The 22,567-nt window shown below is 35.8% G+C and overlaps 1 protein-coding gene across 2 annotated transcripts in view, besides 1 other annotated feature; it reads left to right on the forward strand.

Moving 5' to 3' along the window:
* The window catches only part of DIAPH2 (diaphanous related formin 2), a 920,156-nt gene that overhangs the window by 30,381 nt on the left and 867,208 nt on the right, over positions 1 to 22,567 (forward strand). For both annotated transcript variants that reach the window (NM_006729.5, NM_007309.4), the window contains exon 2: positions 20,536 to 20,568. In NM_006729.5, coding sequence (NP_006720.1) covers positions 20,536 to 20,568 — 33 coding nt within the window. The remainder of the gene's footprint in view (positions 1 to 20,535; positions 20,569 to 22,567) is intronic.
* Positions 15,744 to 16,292: an enhancer, noted in NCBI's record as "NANOG-H3K27ac hESC enhancer chrX:95985965-95986513 (GRCh37/hg19 assembly coordinates)". NCBI's record gives its function as "activates a minimal SCP1, AML or CMV promoter by ChIP-STARR-seq in naive H9 embryonic stem cells {active_cell/tissue: H9 hESC(naive)}" and the evidence as "EXISTENCE:reporter gene assay evidence [ECO:0000049][PMID:30033119]".

The raw sequence follows: 22,567 nt of genomic DNA on the forward strand, positions 1-22,567 counted from the left end.
GTGAAGACTTGCATGCAGCTTATTTCTGATAATCATTTGATTACTCCTCAGTCCAAATAAAAAAAAATCTAGGTAGCAAGGCATTTATTCACATCATTCATTTTTGTGCAACAAAATAGTCTTGCAGTTGACAGTGAACTTCAGAATGCAGGTTTTCAACTCAGGGCAATAATTATTAACATGAATATTCACCTTATGAATATTGACTATATGAATATGCAAGCTATTAATGGAGTCAAATGTCTTTGAAAGTCACACTCTAGGGACACTTGTTGCAATTCTTCACTCTTTATGGCTGGATTATATATGCTTTCCCGTGGCAGTATTGATTACACAGTGAAGATTTATTCTCTTTCACCATTGGAGTTACATAGTCCTAGTGAAGAGGAAGTGGGGCACATGCAAGATGTAATGTGCTGCTTTGCCTCATCTTTATTTCTATTTTAAGCTTCAATGACCTAGACTAGAGTATTTTACAAGAAATTTTATGTGTGATTAAGAGTGAGTCTTTTCATGTTTGTTTAATGATGAGAAACGATTAGGGTTTGAGGGAGTGACTGCTACCCAGTATGTATTTAAACATAGCCAAAAGTAGCAGTCTTATCATAGAAATATTTTCATAGACGTAATAGCATGAGAATAAGATGCATTTGTTGTCTTCTTTGCTTTTGGTTTAATCTTTTTTTTTTTTTTTCTTCTTGTCTTGCAGTATCCTTCCAAAACAAAAGGCATAACCTAACACTTTTATTGTGCTTTGAGTACCTCTCCTCTGGACCAGGTCAACCATACAACTCTTTCAGTCATCTGGTTAGGATAGAAAACTTATTTTGCCTTAGTGTTAACACATCTCAGATGACAACGGATAAACTGAGCCTTTAATATAATAAGTGCACAACATTTTGCAGATATGTTTAATCATTGTCCCTTCAATAGGGGTTTGGTTTTGATTTTGTTCTGATGCTGCTACCATTTTAAAAAATGCCTTTAGGATTGTTTGGGAACTGTATTCAGAATTAATTTTGTAAGAAACATGAGAAAGCTATTCTTATGGTCACATTAGTTTTGAGTCTAGGATATACTTGAGAGCCTGCAATAGTAATCAGAGTTTATTGTTTTTGAAAAGGAGCAAGTGATTTGAGTATGTACATTCTAGTGTATTAAAGAATGAATTCAATCCTTATATTATTTTCATACCTTATAATGGAGATAAGTTAGTTACTGATGTATAGTCTCTTATGTATTGTTTATTTCAGCAGCTTTATTATTTAAATATAATTGACATACAGTAAGCTGCACATACTTAATGTGTACAGTTTACTAAACTTTGCGTATGTGAAAACCACCCTCACAATCAAGACAGTGAACATATTCATCACCCTCAAAGGGGTTATACCTCTTGGTTACCTCCCGTCCCTCTCTTCCATCCCCAAACTGAGAATTAGTTTGCATTTTTGTCAGTTTTCTGGAAGAGTTGCCGTAGAATTGATGTTTACTAGAACACCCCAGTAAAGCCATAGTGTTGGGTCTTCTCTCATTGTTTATCAGTTTTATGGATCTTCAAAGAAGCAACTTTTGGTTTTATTTTTCTATATTTTGATATTTCATGATTTAAATTTTGACCCATTATTTCTTTTAGCTTGCTTACTTTGAGTTTCATTTGCTTTTCTTTTTCTATTTGCCTAAGGTGACAGCGAAGGTCATTGATTTGAGTACTTAAGAGCTTATTTTATAATATAGGCATTCATTGTTAGAAATTTCTCCCCAATTACTGCTTTTTGGTGTCCCACAAATCCTTATATTTTGTGATTTTAATTTTACTTAGTTTAAATATTTTCTAATTTCTCTTCTGATTTCTTCTTCTACCGATCGTTTACTTAGAAGTGCATTGTTTATTTTCCAATTATTTGGGGATTTTGTAGAAATCTTTTGGTTTTGATTTCTAAAGACTGCTGTGGTCAGAAAATATACTTTGTATGACTTGAATACTTTTACATTTATTGAGACTTTGTTTTATGGTAAATGTTCCATGTGCACTTGACAAAAAATATGTAGTCTTCTGTTGTTGGGTCGAGTCTTGTTCGGGGCCTCCATATCCCTGCTGATTTTCTGTCTGCTTGTTCTATCAATTATTGAGAGAAGAGCACTGAAGTCTGACTGTTACTGTGGATTTGTCTGTTTCTCCTTGTAGTTTTCTGTTTCTGCTTCGTGTATTTTGAAGCTCTGTTATTACAGGCATAACTGTTTAGGACTGTATATCCTCCCGATAATTGACCCCTTTGTCATTATGAAATGACCCTTTTTATACCAGGTGATTTTTTTTTTTTTTTGCTGTGAAATCCACTTTGCCTGATATTAATACAGCCACTCTAACCTTCTTTTGACTAGTGTTAGCATGGTTTATCTTTTATCCTTTTATATAACATGTCTTTCCCCCACCCGCTCTGGCTGCTTTTAATATTTGCTCTTTATCACACTGGCTTTCAGTAACTTAAGATGTGCCTTGGTGTACTTTTCTTCATATTTCTTGTGCTGGGGTTCTTTGGGCTTTTGGGAATCACTGGTTTATATGTTTTTTAATTTTTGTGGGTATATAGTATATATATATATATATATATATATATATATATATATATATATTCACATGAGATATTTTGATACAGGCATACAATGTATAATAATCACATTGGGGGAAATGGGCTAACCATCACCTCAAACATCCTTTGGTACAAACAATCCAATTATACTCTTTTGGTTTTTAAAAAATATACAATAAACTTGTTGACTGTAGTCACTTGATTGTGCTATCAAATACTAGATCTTAATTATTCAATCTAACTTTATTTTTGTACCAATTAACCATCCCCACACCTCACTCTCCAACTTCCCAGCCTCTGGTAAACATCATTCTACTGTCTATCTCCATGAGTTCAATTGTTATAATTTTTTTAGATCCCACAAATAAGTGAAAACATGCAACGTTTGCCTTTCTGTGCCTGGCTTTTTTTTCACTTAACATGTCCTTTAGTTCCATCTGTGCTGTTATAAATGACAAGATCTTGTTCTTTTTTATGGCTGGATAGTACTCCATTGTATATATGTACCACATTTTCTTTGTTTTTTTTTTTTTTTTTTTTTTTTTTTTTTTTTTTTTTATGGTGTCTCATTCTGTTGCCTAAGCTGGAGTGCAGTGGCATGATCTCAGCTAACTGCAACCTCTGCCTCCCACGTTCAAGCGATTCTCCTGCCTCAGCCTCCCAAGTAGCTGGGACTATAGGCGCGTGCCATCATACCCAGCTAATTTTTGTATTTTTAGTAAAGATGGGGTTTCACCATGTTGGCCAGGCTGGTCTTGAACTCCTGACCTCAGGTAATCCACCCGCCTCAGCCTCCCAAAATGCTGGGATTACAGGCGTGAGCCACTGTGCCCAGCCACCACGTTTTCTTTATCCATTCATCTGTTTATGGATACTTAGGTTGCTTCCAAATCTTGGCTGTTATGAATAGTGCCACAATAAACATGAGAGAGCAGATATCTCTTTTAATATACTTATTTTCTTTCTTTTGGGTATATACTCAGCTGTGGCATTGCTGGATCATATGGTACTTCTATTTTTAGTTTCTTGAGAAACTGCTAAATTATTCTCCGTAGCGGTTGTACTGATTTACATTCCCACCGACAGTGTACGAGGAATCCCTCTTTTCCACATCCTTGCCAGCATTTGTTATTGCCTGTCTTTTGGATAAAAGCAATTTTAACTGGGGGTAACATGATACCTCTGTAATTTTGATTTGCATTTCCGTGATCAATGATGTTAAGCACCTTTTCATATACCTGTTTGCCATTTGTATGTCTTCTTTTGAGAAAAGTCTATTCAGATCTTTTGTCCATTTTAAAATTGGATTATTAGATTTTTTTCTCTATATAGAGTTGTTTGAGCTACTTATATATTCTGGTTATTAATCCCTTGTCAGATGGGTAGTTTGCAAATATTTTCTCCTATACTGTGGGTTATCTCTTCACTTTGTTGATTGTTTCCTTTGCTGTGCAGAAGATTTTTTAATTTGATGTGATCTTATGTGTCCATTTTTGGTTTGGTTGCCTGTGCTTGTGGAATATTATGCAAGTAATCTTTGCCCGGTCCAATGTCCTAGAGGACCTTCCCCAATGTTTTCTTGTAACAGTTTCATAATTTGAGGTCTTAGATTTAAGTCTTGAATCCACTTTGATTTCATTTTTGTATATGGAGAGACACAGGGGTCTAGTTTCTTTCTTCTGCATATGGAGATCTAGTTTTCTCATTACATTTATTGAAGAAACTGTCCTTTACCCGATGTATGTTCTTGGCACCTTTGTTGAAAATGAGTTCACTGTAGATTTATGGACTTATTTCTGTGTTCTCTATTCCGTTCCATTGGTCTCTGTGTCTGTTTTTATGCCAGTACCATGCTGTTTTGGTTACTATAGCTCTATAGTATAATTCGAAGTCAGGTAATCTGATGCTTTCGGTTTTGTTCTTTTTTTCTCAGCATAGCTTTGGCTATTCTGTATCTTTTGTGGTTCTGTATAACAGTTACCATTTAAAAAAAATTTCTGTGAAGAATGTCATTGGTATTTTGATAGGGATGCATCAAAAACAAAAACAAAAGTAAAAAATGAAAACACAAAAACCAGTTTGTGACATGGTTAATTAAAGTGATCGGGATTTTTACAATTCTCTTTCACTTTTCTACCCTTCTACCTGAGCATCTGGTTAATCATGGCTGAACGTTAACCAACCCCTTCCAACTTTCTTGCTTAGACTCCAGGTATAACCTCTTGGATTCGGGTCAAAATTGCTTACTCAATAATTATCTTAACCTCAATCTGACAGTCTCCTTTTATTTTGCTTAATAGTTATTTGGCAATTCCTTTACTGAACTTCATTAGTCCTTAAAAACTGTGTACATATAGCTTCTTTCAGTTTCCAAACATTTTTCCTTCTAATTATTGTTTCTCTGGTCATGTGATGTATCTTTTCCTTGCCTGTTGTTTATTACAAAAATCTCTCCAGCCTTGGTCAAAATTCTATCCTTCTGGGCTCACATACCACAGGCTCCAGCTCAGGCACATATTGTATTTTTATTAAAAATATAGCATAGATACAGAATTTTGGTACTAACAAGAACAATACAGTTTATTACTTACACTCGAAGAGATTGAGAGCATACTTCTCAGTCTCTCTTCTAGGTTTTGCCTTGTCACATGATGCTTAAGGTATTTTCACCCTTGATTATTGGAAAAATTCAGCAAAACCTTATTAGAATACTTTAAATATATATAATACAGTTTGGGGATTATTTTATTAGCATAACTTTGTATGTTCTTTAAGCTAGAACATTCTCATTGGTCATGCTGGCAGGGAAAAGAGAAGCCAGAAGAAAATTCAAGTCACTGTTCCGTAAGAACAAATGTTAACATTTGGGCTGGATGGTCACATCAACATGGATTTTGACAGAAAATGTCCTGTCAATTTGATGGATTTTACTTGTGATAAATATACTTCCAGAGAGCTTGCAACAAACCACTCGGTTATAAATGGGTATTTCTGAAGTAATCCTTTCTGATTTGTTTTCAGTTCTAGTCCCTCCCCAATAAAACTGTACCCTAGAATGATGTAATTAAAACATATGAGATGTAGAGACTAGGAAACTTTTTAGTAACATGTTATACATGTGACCTCATTGTATACTGGTTTTCCTTGTCCTGATTCCATTCAGTAGGACTCTTAGGCCTGTGGTTCTACCTTCTTACTGGAACTGGAGGGAAGCTTCTGTTTGACCAAGCTAGGTCAAAGAAAATGAATTTTTTTGCTGTTGGCTGTCTCCAGAGTTTATCTTGAAATCATCAAGTACCTGAGGGATTAAGTTAATATACTCATTTTGCATGTTGCTGGAACTAAAATTAGGTAGAAGAAAGCAGAAACTGGGAAGTTTTTATGTTTGTTTAAAGATTTATTATGTATTATGGGTGTATCTAATCTTCTTGTCATGTAATTTAAATAAATAGGATAAATATTTTTAATGCAAATCCAAACTGAAAATTCACTTTGCAGAGATCATTAACATTTATTTCATGTCATTGTCCTTCTATAGTTTTAAAATGCAAATACCATGGGAAAATCTTCTGGTATATGCTCATGAGAGTGCATTTGTTGCTTACTGACTGTTTTATATTTTACAGTTGGCTAGTCAAGTGCTGACTAATGAACACAAAGCCTGTGTTTGAAAATAAATTTAACAGCTTTATACACAAGCTAAGTTTATGTAAAGTGATCTAGGAGACACATGACCTTTGTGCTCCATAGCCCTTGCTCAAATTCTGAAAGTAAACTATGTAAATGATCTAACATGTCAGGTCAAACAGTTTCAGTGGTTTTCAGCCAAGGGAACTATTGAATATGTTGAGGTGCTTCCCTCTACTATGATGGGTCATGCATCATACCATAGTACTCTGTTTGCTGTTTACCTTGTGAAGGTGTATTTGCTGCTGGAACCATGATGCTGCATACAGGACAGAGAACATTATATGGTTCTGTTTTTACCTCAGTATGCCTTGGTTTCCTAATCAGAAAAACGGGAATAATAATAATAGCTACATTACAGGTTTGTTTTAGGAATTAATTAAATCAGAGAACTAAAAACAATGCCTGGCACATAGAAGGTGCTCAGTGAATCATAAATAGTAGTACTAATAGTAGTGATGCTCTCTCTTTAGGTCTAGCTTTTCTTTTTTCTTTTTAATATACAAATTATAAATTAACAATTTCCTTTTAGGTATTCATGTCTACAATTTGGCATTTAAAGAGACTCTTGGCCGGGCACAGTGGCTCATGCCTGTAATCCCAGCACTTTGGGAGGCCAAGGAGGGCGGATCACCTGGGGTCAGGAGTTTGAGACCAGTCTGGCCAACATGGTGAAAGCCTGTCTCTACTAAAAGTACAAAAAATTAGCCGGGCGTGGTGGTGGGCGCCTGTGATCTCAGCTACTTGGGAGGCTGAGGCAGGAGAATTGCTTGAACCTGGGAGGTGGAGGTTGCAGTGAGTTGAGATTGCACCACTGCACTCCAACCTGGGCAGCAGAGCGAGACTCCGTCTTAGAAAAAAAAAAAGAGAGACTCTCATTCATTCATTCGTTCCCTCCTTCTCTCCTCTTTCTCTCTTCCCTTGTCCCTGTTTCCTTCCCTTCCTCTACTGTATTTCCTTGACTTGTTGCTGTCTAGCTGCAGCAGTGTAGGCAAACCAGGCAGGCTCTAATGGCTAAAAATTGGTTTGTTTGGGCTACATTTAAAATAATTGGATATGTAGCAATTTGAGGTGGGCTTTGAGCTAATGGGTCTTATGCTGCTGTGAAGAAGTAAACAACATAAGGCCAATATACAGAGGCCATCTTTAACCCATTTATGTAATATATACAAAACTATATAAGACCCACCTCCTGCCTTAGGAAATTCATACATTCTAGTGAGAAATTATCGCACTATGATAAATGCTAAAATCAAAGTTTGAACTAAGACCTTGGGAGTAATAAAAAATTCCACTTTTGTGGTGTTTCCAGGTTTTTTCAAGCATATTGTAGCTCAGGAAGCACTCTACATTGTTGGCTACTGGCGACTGACATTGCATCATAACTTTTAAGTTTTAAAACTGTGTCACCCTTTCAATATCTGTGGGTTACGTGTTCATATTCAGTTATGTTTGTAGCTTTGAGTCTACATACAGTCTCATTTCTGCATTTCATGTGAAAGAAAATGCCAGTCTTAGCACATTCTCTTATGCTATTAATGGAGAGGGGAAGAAGCCATTCTAGTTCCTTCCTAAAAAAAGTGATCACTGTTTAAAGCTCAAGTAGGTGGGTGCTTGTGTATAGTTCATGAAATTTGGGATACTCAGAGCTCAGTGAATACCTGAAAATGAAGAGACCTTTTAACCTGGTGGGTCAAGTTTGACTTAAGTTCTTGAACAAATTCACTGTAAGTACTCTAGAGGCAGTGTTTATGAGGGAATTTAGATGCCAGGATAATTTTTTTAAATAGAAGGAATAAATTGCCCCTTGTTTCCCAATTAAGACACCTAAGAAGCTTGATCTGTAATCATGTCTTCTGTGGTTACTCTCTGAAGTCTTATGTTGAAATAAGTGGCTGTCTCTCTTCTGTCCCTTTATGTACCATCACTGGTATAGCCAGTCCTGCCTATAGAAAGGAAAAATCAAGTTTTTTACACCTCGTGTTAGAATGGGTATTTTCTACAGAAACTGTTTCAAAGGAGAATGGAGTTGGAATACTACTTACTACCAGTGTGACTCTGAAGGTGTATTATAGATTTTTATAGGATTTTAATAAGGTTTTTTAAAGCTGATTTGCGAATTCAACCATCATTGAGAACTTTGTTTCTGTAAGAAAATGTAGTCGCAGAACTAACTCCATATGTTTCATCAGGGCTACGAAGGGCCCATGTATGTAGAAAACTTCAGTAGTATTGATTATGGCTACTAAATAGGTAATTTTGTTGAAAATAAGTTTAACATTATTAGCAAATAGAATGGTAATTGAAGAGAAGTTAATTTAGGAATTTTGTAAAAAACTTGGCTATGATTATGGTACTGACACAGTAATGTGGGGCCAGAACTTATGGTAACCCCATAAGAGTGATTCTATAATTTTTTTTTTTTTTTTTTTTTTTTTGAGACTGAGTCTCATTCTGTTGCCCGGGCTGGAGTGCAGTGGTGCGATCTCGGCTCACTGCAACCACTGCCTCCTGGGTTTAAGTGATTCTCCTGCCTCGGCCTCCCAAGTAGCTTGGATTACAGGCGCCCACCACCACGCATGGCTAATTTTTTTGTATTTTTAGCAGAGACGGGGTTTCACTATGTTGGTCAGGCTGGTCTTGAACTCCTGACCTCAAGTGATCCGCCCGCCTCCGCCTTCCAAAGTGTCGGGATTACAGGCGTGAGCCACCACGCTTGGCTAATTCTATAAATTTTTAAGCGTATCTTTATTTGTTTTTCAGTGATCTACTGACTGTAAATCATTCTGTCAGCTTCATAGTAACATTTAATTTCAACCTACCCAGTCCCTAATTGGCCAAACTGTTATAAAACCAAATTACGCAGCAGTGAGGAAAATAGAAACTTGAATGAATGCTATTAAAATAAGTTTAGACCATCTCAAATTTATCCTCATAATTCAGACTTTCTCTGTTTTCAAAGAAGACGTCTCATACACACTGAGTGTTATTGGCAGATTTGACATGGCTGGAGTCTTATGTGCAGAAATATAATATGTATCTGTCAGTGGTTTTCAGGAGCCCCTATGAAAGGGCTTGATTTTGCTGGTTTGAAGCCTTTGTTGGCATCAGCAAAGTCAAAGAGTTGTAGGCAAGGTTAACAGCCACTTCATATTTAATGGGTTTATGCAAACCGTGATCTATATATTGATTATATAAAATACATCACTGTTGTCTTAACATCCAGATGAAAAGGAAAAAAATGTTTTCTACATCAAAATCTTTAGACTTAAAAATCTCTGTGATTCATAATATTAATTAAAAGAGAAAATAAAAATCTGAATAATTTGCTTTGACCTGTGTATGTATAAGGGTCATTATAAGGGTTAGTGCTTGGGTTGCTTGTGAGTTTTCAGGCAAAGGGACATACAGCTCATCTTTTTTATATTGCAACTGATCAGTGATTAATACTTAAGAGGCTTCAGGGGCTAAGTATAGTTGCTGATTTATTTGCAGCTCTTACTCCACTTCAATTATTTAAATACAGCGAAGAGTCCGTCGTGAGAAACACAACAGAGTAGGAGAAATTTGAGATCTATCAGCATAAACAGATACAAGTGTTGCTTTGCCCCAAATCATAAAAAGTAAAAAAATTAAAACTACCTGTTAATTCATTGTGATATTATTTGTAAAACACAGTGACATAAATGATATTTTCCTACAATGTGTTATTTATTATTTTGACAATTTCTGTCACTATGTTGAGAAAGAATCTCTTATCCAAATTAAAACTAAGTAAAAAACTATTTAAGGAACATTATGAGACAAAAGGTTTTTTCAGTTATCACTACTCAGCATAGAATCTGAAGCCCATTGGGGGAAAAATGAAGTTTATAAAATTGAGTAATTTATAATATTAAATTTTTCCAAAAACACTTTTTAAATTTTCTGAAAATTATTTTTTGTTCACCATATAATCACATTCTGTTTAAGCTTCTACGTTTTAAATATTTGATATAATATTTAGTGATTTTTAAAGTTCTTCCTGTGTGAGTAAATGAGCTGTTTTTGTTTTCCATGTAGAGAAGTTTGTCTGCTTTCACTCTGGAAATGATTTCTTATGGGTTAACGCCTTTGGATACATGTGTTCCAAGAGCTAAACAACTGCTATACAAGTGAATTTTGAGACATGGCCCATTCCTGAATTGGGGATTGTTTGCAAATTCAAGACCATCAGTTAAAAGTACTAATAGTGAAGTTAACTTAAATCACTGTATGACTTTTATGTATTTTTTCCTACAAAAAATATAATAATACCTTATTCACAACTCAGGTATAATTTTCAGTTTTTGGCAATTTATACTCTTGAATTTTTAAAGCAGTGAATCATTTTGTTTTGTCAGATTAATTTTGCAACTACATCAGAAAACTAAATGATGTGGTTATTTGTAAAAGCTGCTTGAAGTAGACAGATAGCAAGTCATTGTGAGGTGAAGTATCTCCAGAGTGATAATCATAGCCATTTAGAGGTTATTTTTGCATTATAAAGATAGTAATCATAACAACAGATATTTAAATTACTCTATTTAATACAAACAGCAATCATATGTCTGGGTACATTGCTTCAATAACAAGCGTTATTTTAAACAAAATTATATATACTAACTGCCTTATCTATTTATATTGCTCCCATCCTAGGCTAAGCTTTTATCATCTTGCAACTGGATCACATTCTCTCTCTGTCGCTCTCTTCCTCTGTCTCTCTCCTCCCCCAGCCCCAATTCTGTCAATCATCACAGGTTTGAGTACTTACTATGTGCTAGAAATAGTGCAAAAACCTGAGGACACAGTGGGAATCGAGAAAAACCTGGTCCTTACTACATTGAGTTTACAGTATTGCACAGAAGACTGATATTGATAGGTAATTAGGATTTGATACGTGGAATGTGTTGCAGAAGGAACCATGGGAGACTATAACAGGATCAACTGTATCCTTAGCTGAGAGCAGAACAGTTGAGTAGAAGATGGCTAGATGATTAAGAAAGAGGTGAGGTGGGATGGAGCGGGTGCTGTAAGCAGAGCAAAGAGCACCTGGAAAGGCCGAGACTGAAAAAGAGCTGGAGCTCTAACCAGTATTGTTATACTGATGAAGACTGTTGCACACAGATTTCAGAATATAGATAGATGTTCTAGAGTGTGTGTTCTAGTCAGACCTGAATGCTAATCTGGACTGTGTAATTTATTATCTTTGTGATTTAGGCAAATGACTTAATGACTGTAAACCTTGATTTCCTGATGAGTAAAACAAGACAGTACCTTCTTGTACATAGGATTATTGTGAGGATTTAAACAAGGCAATGCCTGTAAAGCTCTTAGCATAGTGCCTATAAATGCTCAGTAAATGGTAGCTATTAGTTAGGTAGAATAGACCAAACTTGCTGATCTCTGCAAGCCGCCTTTTTAGCCTTTGATTCCTTCTTTAGTTTATTCTCAATATTACAGGTCCATAACCCTTTTCTGAAATTCTGAAATATGAATGCTCTGAAAACACTCTTATCATTTGGCCACAAGCCCCAACCTTCTTAAGGCCGTATAGGTACTCTTTATTTATCCTGTTTTGTGAAATATCCATGTTTTCCTTTTAAACTTGAATACATTTGAGTTAATGTGTTACCCCAGATCCTGCTTAGTGTGTTTTGTAAGATATGATACACCTAGCATATTCCTTTCTAAAACATGAAACATGCTGAGTTCCAAGACGTGTTTGGCTTGAAAGGTTTCAAATAAAAGATTGTACACGTGTGCCAACCCAAAGTCAGCTTTCTAAAATACCATTTTCTCCATGTCTGTCTTCAAATCAGAAAATCATAAGAACGCCTAGTGGTTTTCCAGTTTAGTTTTGACTATTCCTTGTGGTTTTCAAGACTGCCTCTAATCCACCCTACATATTCAAAATTTAATACCCTTGTACTTGAACCATTTGTTTCATAAGTCTGTTCTCTTCAACTTCCCTGAAGTAAAATGTTAATGCTGCTCCTTTTGTCTGACTTCCCTCTCTTTCTCTCTTTGTGGCTCTTCAGATCCCTACCCAACAATTAGGCCACAATTCTTTGTAGTTTCTCAATGAAGCTATATTTATCTATTTCTTCTCTGAATTCTTATTGTGCTTAAATGAATTTATTTAACAGTATTTGAGCAGATATTATGTGCCAGCTACTGTTCTAAGTGTCAGAGATCTGAAAGTGAATAAGACAGTTAAGGTCTCTACTGTTAGGGAACTTGTTTTCTAGAAAGTAGAAGACAACCTGTAATCCCAGCACTTTGGGAGGCTGAGGTGGATGGATCACGAGGTCAGAAGTTCGAGACCAGCCTGGCCAAGATGATGAAACCTGATCTCTACTAAAAATACAAAAATTAGCCGGGCATGATGGCGGGCACCTGTATCCAAGCTACTCGGGAGGCTGAGGCAGGGAATTGCTTGAATCCGGGAGGTGGAGGTTGCAGTGAGCCGAGATCGTGCCACTGCACTCCAGCCTGGGTGACAGAGGGAGACTCCGTCTCAAAAAAAAAAAAAGAAAAAAAAAAGTAGAACACAAATAAGTGAACAATATCATTTCAGATAACAGTTAATGCTGTCAAGATAAGACAGGAGGATAGTGCCTTGGGAGAAGCGACATACCTGAGAAACTCATAGTTTCGCATTTAGTTATTTTTGTTTTTATATGGTTAGTTTTTTTTTTTTGGTTTGACGGAGTCCCACTCTCTCGCCCAGGCTGGAATGTAATGGCATGATCTCGGTTCACTGCAACCTCTGCCTTCCAGGTTCAAGCAATTCTCCTGCCTCAGTCTCCCAAGTAGCTGGGATTACAGGTGCCCACCACTACACCCAGCTAATTTTTGTATTTTTAGTAGAGACGGGGGTTTCACCATGTTGGTCAGGCTGGTCTCGAATTCCTGACCTGAGGTGACCCACCCGCCTTGGCCTCCCAAAGTGCTGGTAGTACAGGTGTGAGCCACCAAGCCCAGCCTATATGGTTAGTTTTTACTCCCTGGTTAGACTGTAAATGCCTTAAGGGAAGAATCCTTAAACTTCTATGTGCCATAAAGTGTTGGGTATAAAATGGGTGCTTGATTAAGGTTTGGTTGAGAAATTTGTCCTTTTTTGACAGAGAAGGTAAAAATCTATTTATTAAATATAAAGCACTACTTGGCTAAATCATTGATCTAAGAGTATCTGTTATGTACAAAGTACTGTGTTGGTTTTGAAATTTTTGTATTTGTCTAAATCTAGCTTTTTCATTTCTATTGCTTTTTATTCATAGTCTAAGAAAGAAGAACTTTCATGTCTACACAACTTTTTTTTCCCATTTGAAATGCTTTAATATTGTGAACCCCATAAATTTGAGACAGGTCTCAGTTTAGAAAGTTTATTTTGCCAAGGTTGACAATGCGCTTGTGACACAGCCTCAGGAAGTCCTGATGACATGTGCCCAAGGTGGTCAGTGCACAGCTTGCTTTTATACATGTTAGGGAGACATGAGACATCAATCAATATGTAAGAAGTACATTAGTTCCATCCAGAAATGTGGAGACAACTCAAAGTAAGGCCTCCCTACTGGGGGCTTCCAGGTCACAGGTAGGTGAGAGTCAGATGGTTACATTCTTTTGAGTTTCTGGTAAGTCTTTTCAAAAGAGGCAATCAGAATATGCATTTGTCTCTGTGAGCAGAGGGATGACTTTGAATAGAATAAGAGGCGGTTCCCAGCTTGAAGAGGCCCAAGATATTTTCCTTTCACAGTATAAAGCAAACAAACATTCTTTCTATACCTGTAGAGGATGCTACTACTCTAAAAGCTGGATTATTCCTGCAATTGTTTCTGCTTAATTCAGGCACTAAGTGACTTCCTCCAATTCATTAGTGTGAACATTCTTAAAGACCTAAGTGGCAGACATATTTCCTGAACCATTTACCCTTAGTCCTGAAGCTGATCAGGTTTGTCACACACAGACTGCTATAGTCACCCCTCCTGGCAGTTCAAGATTGAGCTTTATGGCAAGACAATTCATTTAAGATTGAGCATAACTTGTTATGACAGATTTATCAAAATTATCCAGTGAAGTAACATAGACTTCTGCTTTGTGAAGAAAACTGAAACCCTATACTGTGATGTCATATTTGTTCTCTTATAGATAAATATTTTGTTCTTTATAAATTGAAAGAGCATCTTGAGAAGAGAATCTCAAAAGGATTTTTTTCTTGTCATAAAAATGGTGGAATGAATTTTGATTTGTAATAGCAAAGAACTCTGGTGGGTTAAAATTTGAGGCTTTTGAATTGACTGTACTTCTGAGATGGTGTGCTTATGGTCACAAAAATACAAAAGTATTGCTCTACTAAAATGATGAAATGGACAGTTCAAGATGTTAACAATGGCAAAGTAAGGTGGAGAACTGGAACTTCATATCTGTAACTTCATCTTCTCAACTACTAGGCTTTTGAGCTTTGAGGGCAGGGCCATATCTCTCTAAATCCCCAGTGCCTCACACACCACCACTTGATCTAGCATCTATTCTTAAGTGCTAATGGTGATAGAGGACTACAGTGCCTAAGATGAAGTGTAGGTGGCTGAAAATGACTCTTACTTTTAGAAAGGAGATGAAAGAATGATTGGGAGTAATTTTAAGTACACGCAGTAAATAGTTCAGTGATTGCAAAAGGAAAAATTTGTTTTCTAAAAGGTCATCTTAGACTCAAGCCTGTACTTTGAGCTTAGTTCTAAAAATAAAATTAGACATTGCTTTCTTGGTGAAATTAAACACAACTGAGAGGTACTCAACTAACAGAAAATCTTTATAATAAAGCATTTGAATGCCTGAACAGAATGTTCAGCTTGGTTACCAGGTGATTGGCCTTGAGTTGTTTGGATTGGCCTTACTGGTTTTTAAAGTTCAGGAGTGAGTATAGGGTCTGAAAAGTTGGAAGGCAGGCCTTTGAATAGTAACTACTTCCCTCTGTGACTGCTGCTTATCTGAATAGGGATTGGGCAGGGATGTCGTCCAGAGAAATCAAACCCTGAATCATTGGTTGATGTTGATTACCTTTCTCAAGGTCCATTCTGACTTGGAAAATATATGGAGATTATAATAGAGTATTACCATATCAGAACTCTCAGAAGCTTTATATTGTGATTGTTCTTTCATTCTTCTGATCTTCAACTAGAGTGTAACCTCCTTAAAGGAAGACAGCATGCTTACCTTGTTTACCACTGTATTCCCAGTGCCCAGTACTGAACAGTTTCACTTATGTCACTCGTGTCCATGTGAAGAGACCACCAAACAGGCTTTGTGTGAGCAACAAGGCTGTTTATTTCACCTGGGCGCAGGCGGGCTGAGTCCGAAAAGAGAGTCAGTGAAGGGAGGTAGGGGTGGGGCCGTTTTATAGGATTTGGGTAGGTAAAGGAAAACTACAGTCAAAGGGGGTTCTCTGGCGGGCAGGAGTGGGAGTCACAAGGTGCTCAGTGGGGGAACTTTTTGAGCCAGGATGAGCCAGGAGAAGGAATTTCACAAGGTAATGTCATCAGTTAAGGCAAGGACCAGCCATTTTCACTTCTTTTGTGGTGGAATGTCATCAGTTAAGGCAGGAACAGGCCATTTTCACTTCTTTTGTGATTCTTCAGTTACTTCGGGCCATCGGGGTGTATAGGTGCAGGTCACAGGGGATGCTATGGCTTAGCTTGGGTCCAGAGGCCTGACAAACAGATGCATAGTAGATGCTTAAATATTTGTTCAGCTGAAGTGAAGGTTGTTTTTTGTGTCCTATTGTACCTGCCATTCTTGGAACGCAAGAAACTTAAGGAAGGTAAAGAGTTGACCCTTCATCTCTATTGTAATGGCCAACTTAATTCATTTTCTTTAAGAGAGAAGAAAATAGTCAAATAGTGCGAATACGTTTTTGAGTTGGTGGTGAGACTTTTGAATTATATGCAACTTAGTTGTCCAATTTCTGTGGTAGTAGAGTAATTGCACGATGTTTATAAAACATTGTATTACCATGTAACATTAGCTATAAGAGAGTTGAATCTTTACATCTTGCTCTTTTTGTTAATTTCTGCCTGATTGAGAAAATTAAAACTTAATTTTCTTACAATAATGACTCTTGCATTGCAATCACAACTTCAGCATTAGAGTTTATAAGTAAGTCAGTCATTTCTCTTAGTCTTAAGGGGTTGAGACTCTGGAGTGATACTTTTATAGTTACACAATATTCATATAATACTGTGCTAAGTTATATTTAATATAGCTGATCATAAATGAAGTTTAATAAACTCTGATTGCTTGACTAATGCACAGTCTTATTGCTTTTCCAGAGTTGATTTTAATGAAAATATATGGTCACTATATTTATTGGTACAATATGCCCTCATTGTAATGAGCATGATCATTAGATTTGCATAATAAAAACTTACAAAAATGACTTTAATCAGTGCTTTTAATTCAGGGGTATGACTCTAATAAAGATTTTTGGGGGGGTCATTTTTGTTTCTGACTTTTTTTAACTCCATAGTAGCTCTGTAGTTTGTACACAGGAATGAAATCCATGTTTACTTGCATGTGGTGTGAGACAGATGCACCCATCCACATAAATGAATTTTGAGAGCTTGTCCCAGAAGACCATCATTATAAATGAAAAAAATTTTTTTGGTGTTTCTGTTGTTATTCTCAAGTCCTTTTATACCTTTCTTTTTTGACTAATATAGAAAGATAATTGTGTAGCAGAAATGATTTCGTTTTGTTTGCAGATCATTTAATTGTAACTTATACAATGATTTCAATGCATGTTTAATGTACAGTGGCTAAAAATTACCCCTTCTGAAATTCAGCCCTTCATATCTGCTTAAAGATTTTCCTTTTCGATAGACCATATTTGTTCTTTTTTCTGAACAGTTATAACGAAGAGCTTTAAATAGTATTATATTTATGAAAGCAGATTTTTACATGAGGGAAATCTGAGAAAATATTCGTATTAAATGTATGTGGTTATACAGGATATCCACTCTAGTTGAATGAAATTTACAAATCAAGAAATCAGGAGTGGGGTGTTTTTCTTTATGTTTCTCTATCACACGTAATTAGGATAATTTTTTACATAAGTATAATTTCCTATGTGCCTTCGGGTACTCTATCATTCTTGTAGATGCCTGTCAGGAAAAAAGAAAATTCTTTAAGAATAAAACAAAGCACAGTCCTTCTCCAGTATTATTTTTGACCAGGGGTCCACATTTGGTTTATCAACAACTAAACTTTCAATTCAAGGGCAGCTCTAGAATTAGAAATGTATATAGCAGAATGGACATTCCAAATCAAAGGGAACAGTAGGGGCACAAAGAGGACATCATGGGAGTATGCATTGGGAAGAGGATTTTAATTTTTGTTTTCTGTAGAATAGGGATCATAAGAGAAGAAGTAGAAGATAGCCCAGGGCTGAATCATACAGGGCTTTGAATTCCATATTAAGGATATTCATCTTTATTCTATAGGTCATCAGGAGGCATTGAATATTTATGAACAGGAGGGAGTATGATAGTCATTCATACTCTTTATTGAGCCTCAATGTGCCAAACACTGCTTTAGGCGTTAGGGTTACATCCCTAAACCAGATGGGCAAAAATCCCTGTCCTTGTGGAGCTTATATTTTTTGTTGGAAAAACAGACCAAGATAATGATAATTAAGTAAATTATAGACTATGTTAGAACGTGCTAAATCTTGTTCAGGAGTGCCAGGAATATGTGGAGGGAGGCAGATGTTTCCATTTGAAATAGGATGGCCAGGGTAGGCCTCACTGAGCAAAACCTTGAAAGCAGGAAGAGGGAGTAAGCCATATGGGCCATGGAGAAAGAGCATTCCAGGCAGAGAGAAGAGCCAGTGCATGTGGCTTATTGCCTCATTGGGGAGCCGTGAAGTGGTCAGTGTGACTGGAGCTGGGGGAATGAAGGGAGAGTAGTAGGAGATGAGGTCAGAGGGATATGGAGAGTGTATAGATCAGTAGGGCCTTGTAGGTCATTGTAATAACTTTGACTTGCACTAGGAGGGAAAATAGCCCTTGGAAAGTGTTGAGCCAAGGAGTGACATGACGTGACTTCAGTTTTCACAGTATCACTTTGTCAGCTGTGTTCAAAATTAACTGTAGGAGAGCAAAGGTGGAAGCAAGGAGATAGATTAGGAAGTCACTACAGAAATTTAGTTAAGAGCTGATGGTGGCTTGAACCACATCTTTGCAAATGGCAGAATGATTATCATGGGACTGGATAGCTGCTTGGCTATTGGAAATGAAGGAGAGGAAGGAGAACAAGATTTGGAAATCTTAAACCTAGACAAGTGGAATGCAGGTGGAGCCACTAACAAATGTTACCCTCTTGTTTGTAAAATGAGAGGCTTTGACTAGATTATCTTGAATTCCATCTAACTTGAATAGTTTCTACCTCTATACTCTGTGGTTTACTATAGATAAAAAGTATGTTAATTCCAAAGAAGAGTACTGAGGGGAAGGGAAGACTTCAGTCTCGTCCCATAGGACCAAGTGAAAATATTGCTAGCAATGCTTTTTTTCTTGTGTCTGTCTCCCATGATTAAACTGTCAACATGTATTCAATTGAGATACAGATTTGAAACATTTTAAACATATGTGTACCTTAATTTAGATAATTTGACTAAAGCAAAAAGTATTTTCCCTTCATTTACATTCTTGCTTTGGAGATATAGATGGGTTTCCAGCCTGGAGTTTATAACCCCAAAAGATGGGAAGAGAAGGAAAGCAGTAGTTGCATGAAGAACTGTATAATCTGTCTCAAAAACACATGTGGACAAGCGCACATAGGGATGGTAGCAGAATTAGTTCAGGCACTTTTGATACTTTGTCATTTTCTCTCTGATTTGGTATTGCAGGAAATCATGAAATTGGCCATTGTGTTTAAAACAGTTTTCTATAACCCACTAGAAAAATTAAGGAGAAAATACCTGGTAGAGAGAGTTGCAGGGTGAATTCATCCTTCTTAAAGTGGTTTCAGTTCTGATATAAATAATTCCCACTTTTTTCCTAGGCAGTAAAGATTGATTGGGGTTTGTGTCAGCAGGATGTGATGAAGACATGGTATAGAGATTAGAAGTTTAGATCCCTGAGGGAATCAGTGGATTAAAAGTAGAAAAGAAAAGAGTTATACATAGAATAGTATATTTGCCCCAGCTGATCTGGGGAGGATGGTCTTTAACAGCATTGGATTGGTGGTATTTGAAGACAATTTTCTGAGATCCAAGCAATTTTCATTCACTTAAAACTCATAATGGAATCCTCCCCACTGTGAGAAGACCCTATTTTTTTTTTAGTGTGCATGACCAAGTTGATATACATTATTCAGCTTCTGTTGTAAGAAATAAATGTATAGGATCTGGCAGAACATTTAATTCAATTTCTAACAGACAATTAAAAAAAATCTGGTTCTTTCCTAATCACACCCCTAATTGGCACTTCAACATATTTATAATAAAAACTATATTTCATGCTTATCATACATTATTGTAAGGTCTTGAACTATCCCGTGAATCATGGAACATAACTACATTATTAGGTATTGCTTTAGTATTGCTGTACTTAAATTCTTCAAATAATGTTGCTCATATATGTTCAATTTTATGTTCAAATAAGTTCAATTTTATTTAGAATATTTTAAAAATATTTCTAATTTATTTATAAGGATAGTTTTTAAAAATAAGTTCAATTTTATTTAGCATATTTATAAAAGTGTCCTTTAAATATCCATCAGGAATAACACAGTTCTTAGGCCAAGCTGTTTCATTATATTTCATTCTTGTTAAATGTGACATTTTTCCTATTGTACGTGGTGTTGTTTTTTAAATTTAGGTATCTTAGCTTGAGGATTCATTTCCAAACTTATATATAGCATGCCAGGGCTTATGATTTTGTTGTATCTTTTCTCACATTTCAGCACTGTGGTAGTGACGTCTGATTTAGATCTGATTTGGGACATTGGGAGCCGTATTTAAAAACAAATATATACACCTTTGCCAAACCTTCATTTTTAATCATTAAAAAGATTTTTTTCTTTAAAGAATGTATTGTTTATATGTTTGAACTTTCTGATTCTTTTTGACTGTTTACAGTTAATAAAAATGAAAATTATTAAATTATTTTATTGTTTGATCTATGAGTTTCTCTTATCTGATGGGTTTTTTTTGTTTGTTTCTTTTTGGTTTTAATAGAACATTCAAATAAAAACTTTGGCAGATGATGTGGTAAGGTGGTCTTAGCATGTTATTACATTACTTATGCATGTTGCCTTTTAATTAAAATGGGTGGACATAAAAGCATTGATATATGTAAGATACAAAATGTCTGGATATTTACAAAGTATAGTAGAATGGAATAATTGTCAATTCAGTGACTTCCTTTTCGAATATTAACACAAACAATTATATGAGATCCCAACAGAATTTTCATATCATCCTAATATTTACCTTAACCAAATGTTTTTTAAAATCTTGTGAATCTAGACTCTGGAAAACACAGATGCTTCCTTTTTTGATGGCCAAATAAATTGTGAATGTATTAAACATTAATATTGGAGGAAATTAATTTCCATTAGAAAGGAAATTAAGTTCACTGTTAGTCAGATGTGTGCTACTAAATTTAAAAACCAGTATTTTAAAGCTGAATTTGTCATAGTATATCTTTTTAAAAGTTATGGGCTCAAAATGTAAATATACCCTTTTATAGCTAAACTATAAAAAATGGTATTTTAAGCCTTGTCAGTTTTTTTTTTCCTATGTGAAATTACCTATTTACAAATAATTTAAAGTAGTGATAGTGCTCAAAGGAGATGAAGGTATGTGGCTTAACTACATTTTCTTTTTGAGACAGAGTCTCGCCCTGTCACCCAGGCTGGAGTGCAGTGGCGCGATCTCGGCTCACTGCAACCTCGCCTCACTGCAACCTCCACTTCCCTGGTTCAAGCAATTCCCCTGCCTCACCCTCCCAAGTAGCTGGGATTACAGGTGCCCACCACCACGCCTGGCCAAATTTTGTATTTTTAGTAGAGATGGGGTTTCACCGTCTTAGCCAGACTGGTCTCAAACTTTTCCTGGTGATCCACCCACCTCAGTTTCCCAAAGTGCTGGGATTACAGGCGTGAGCCACCGCACCCAGCCAACTACATTTTCTTACCAAGGTATAGCTGAAATCAAAAGCTAATTTTCTAGATAAACTGAAAGACACAGTGGAATATCAAATATATATGTTATTAATGCTACTCAGTAAAAAGGCTAGTACTGGAAAAGTAAATATTAAGTGATATGAAGGGAAAGGAGAAGAGATATGTTGATTTAATGGTCAGTTGCATATTTAAATGCTTTCATGTCCACCATATTTTTAGTGAAATTTGACTATTGGATATATCCTCAGCTTATTTTGGATTACTTAACTTTTTTCTTGAGTTGTTTGAAGATATACTATATAACTAAACCAACTTAATTTCCCTCAAAAAGTTAAAAGAAAATGTGAAAATATAGTTCAAGATGATTAGAAGAAATGAATCTTAAGTTAATGTGAAGACTGGGATAGGAACCAGGGGCTGTTGGATTTAGGAAAATCACCTTCTCTGTGAAATGAGGGGATTGGTTTAGATTATTTTTCAAGTTTCTTCTCAGCTCTAAAATACTATGATTTATATAATGTCTTTGTCAGCAACTGTGTACTCAAATTGCTTTTGTAATCCTAAATAAGCTGCTTAAAACTGCTCATATTTCTTTCAAAGTATACTTTTTGGTTTTAAAAAAGTGTTCTTTGAATTTAAAATAAAAGTTATGCTCATTAATGAGGAGTTCACATAATTTTACATAAGCTATGGTAATAACTTCTGTGATGCTCTTTGTATTGTTGAAGTAATTATATAAGGATTCTGGTTACATGGCGGTGAAGATATATTCTCCTGATATTTAACATATCTGCTTGTTTAATGTGAGCTTGATGGTATGCATGTGCTTCCTAACAGAAACCATAATAAAACTGAGTTGCATTCAGTTTTATGCACATTACTAACTTTTGATGTCCCATGTTTTGTGGTTTAAAATAGAATATCCTATTTACATGCAACTGAAGTCATTAACTCACTTTATGTGAAATAGCAAGCTAATTATTAGAGATTTTACATGGAATCAGTGGTTCGAAGTCAATATCCGTAAAATAGCAAGTTTTTCTTAATGATATTTGTAGGAATAAGAAATTTCTGTTTGTTAC

The sequence above is a fragment of the Homo sapiens genome, chromosome X (assembly GCF_000001405.40).
Source record: "Homo sapiens chromosome X, GRCh38.p14 Primary Assembly".
Classification (NCBI taxonomy): Eukaryota; Metazoa; Chordata; class Mammalia; order Primates; family Hominidae; genus Homo; species Homo sapiens.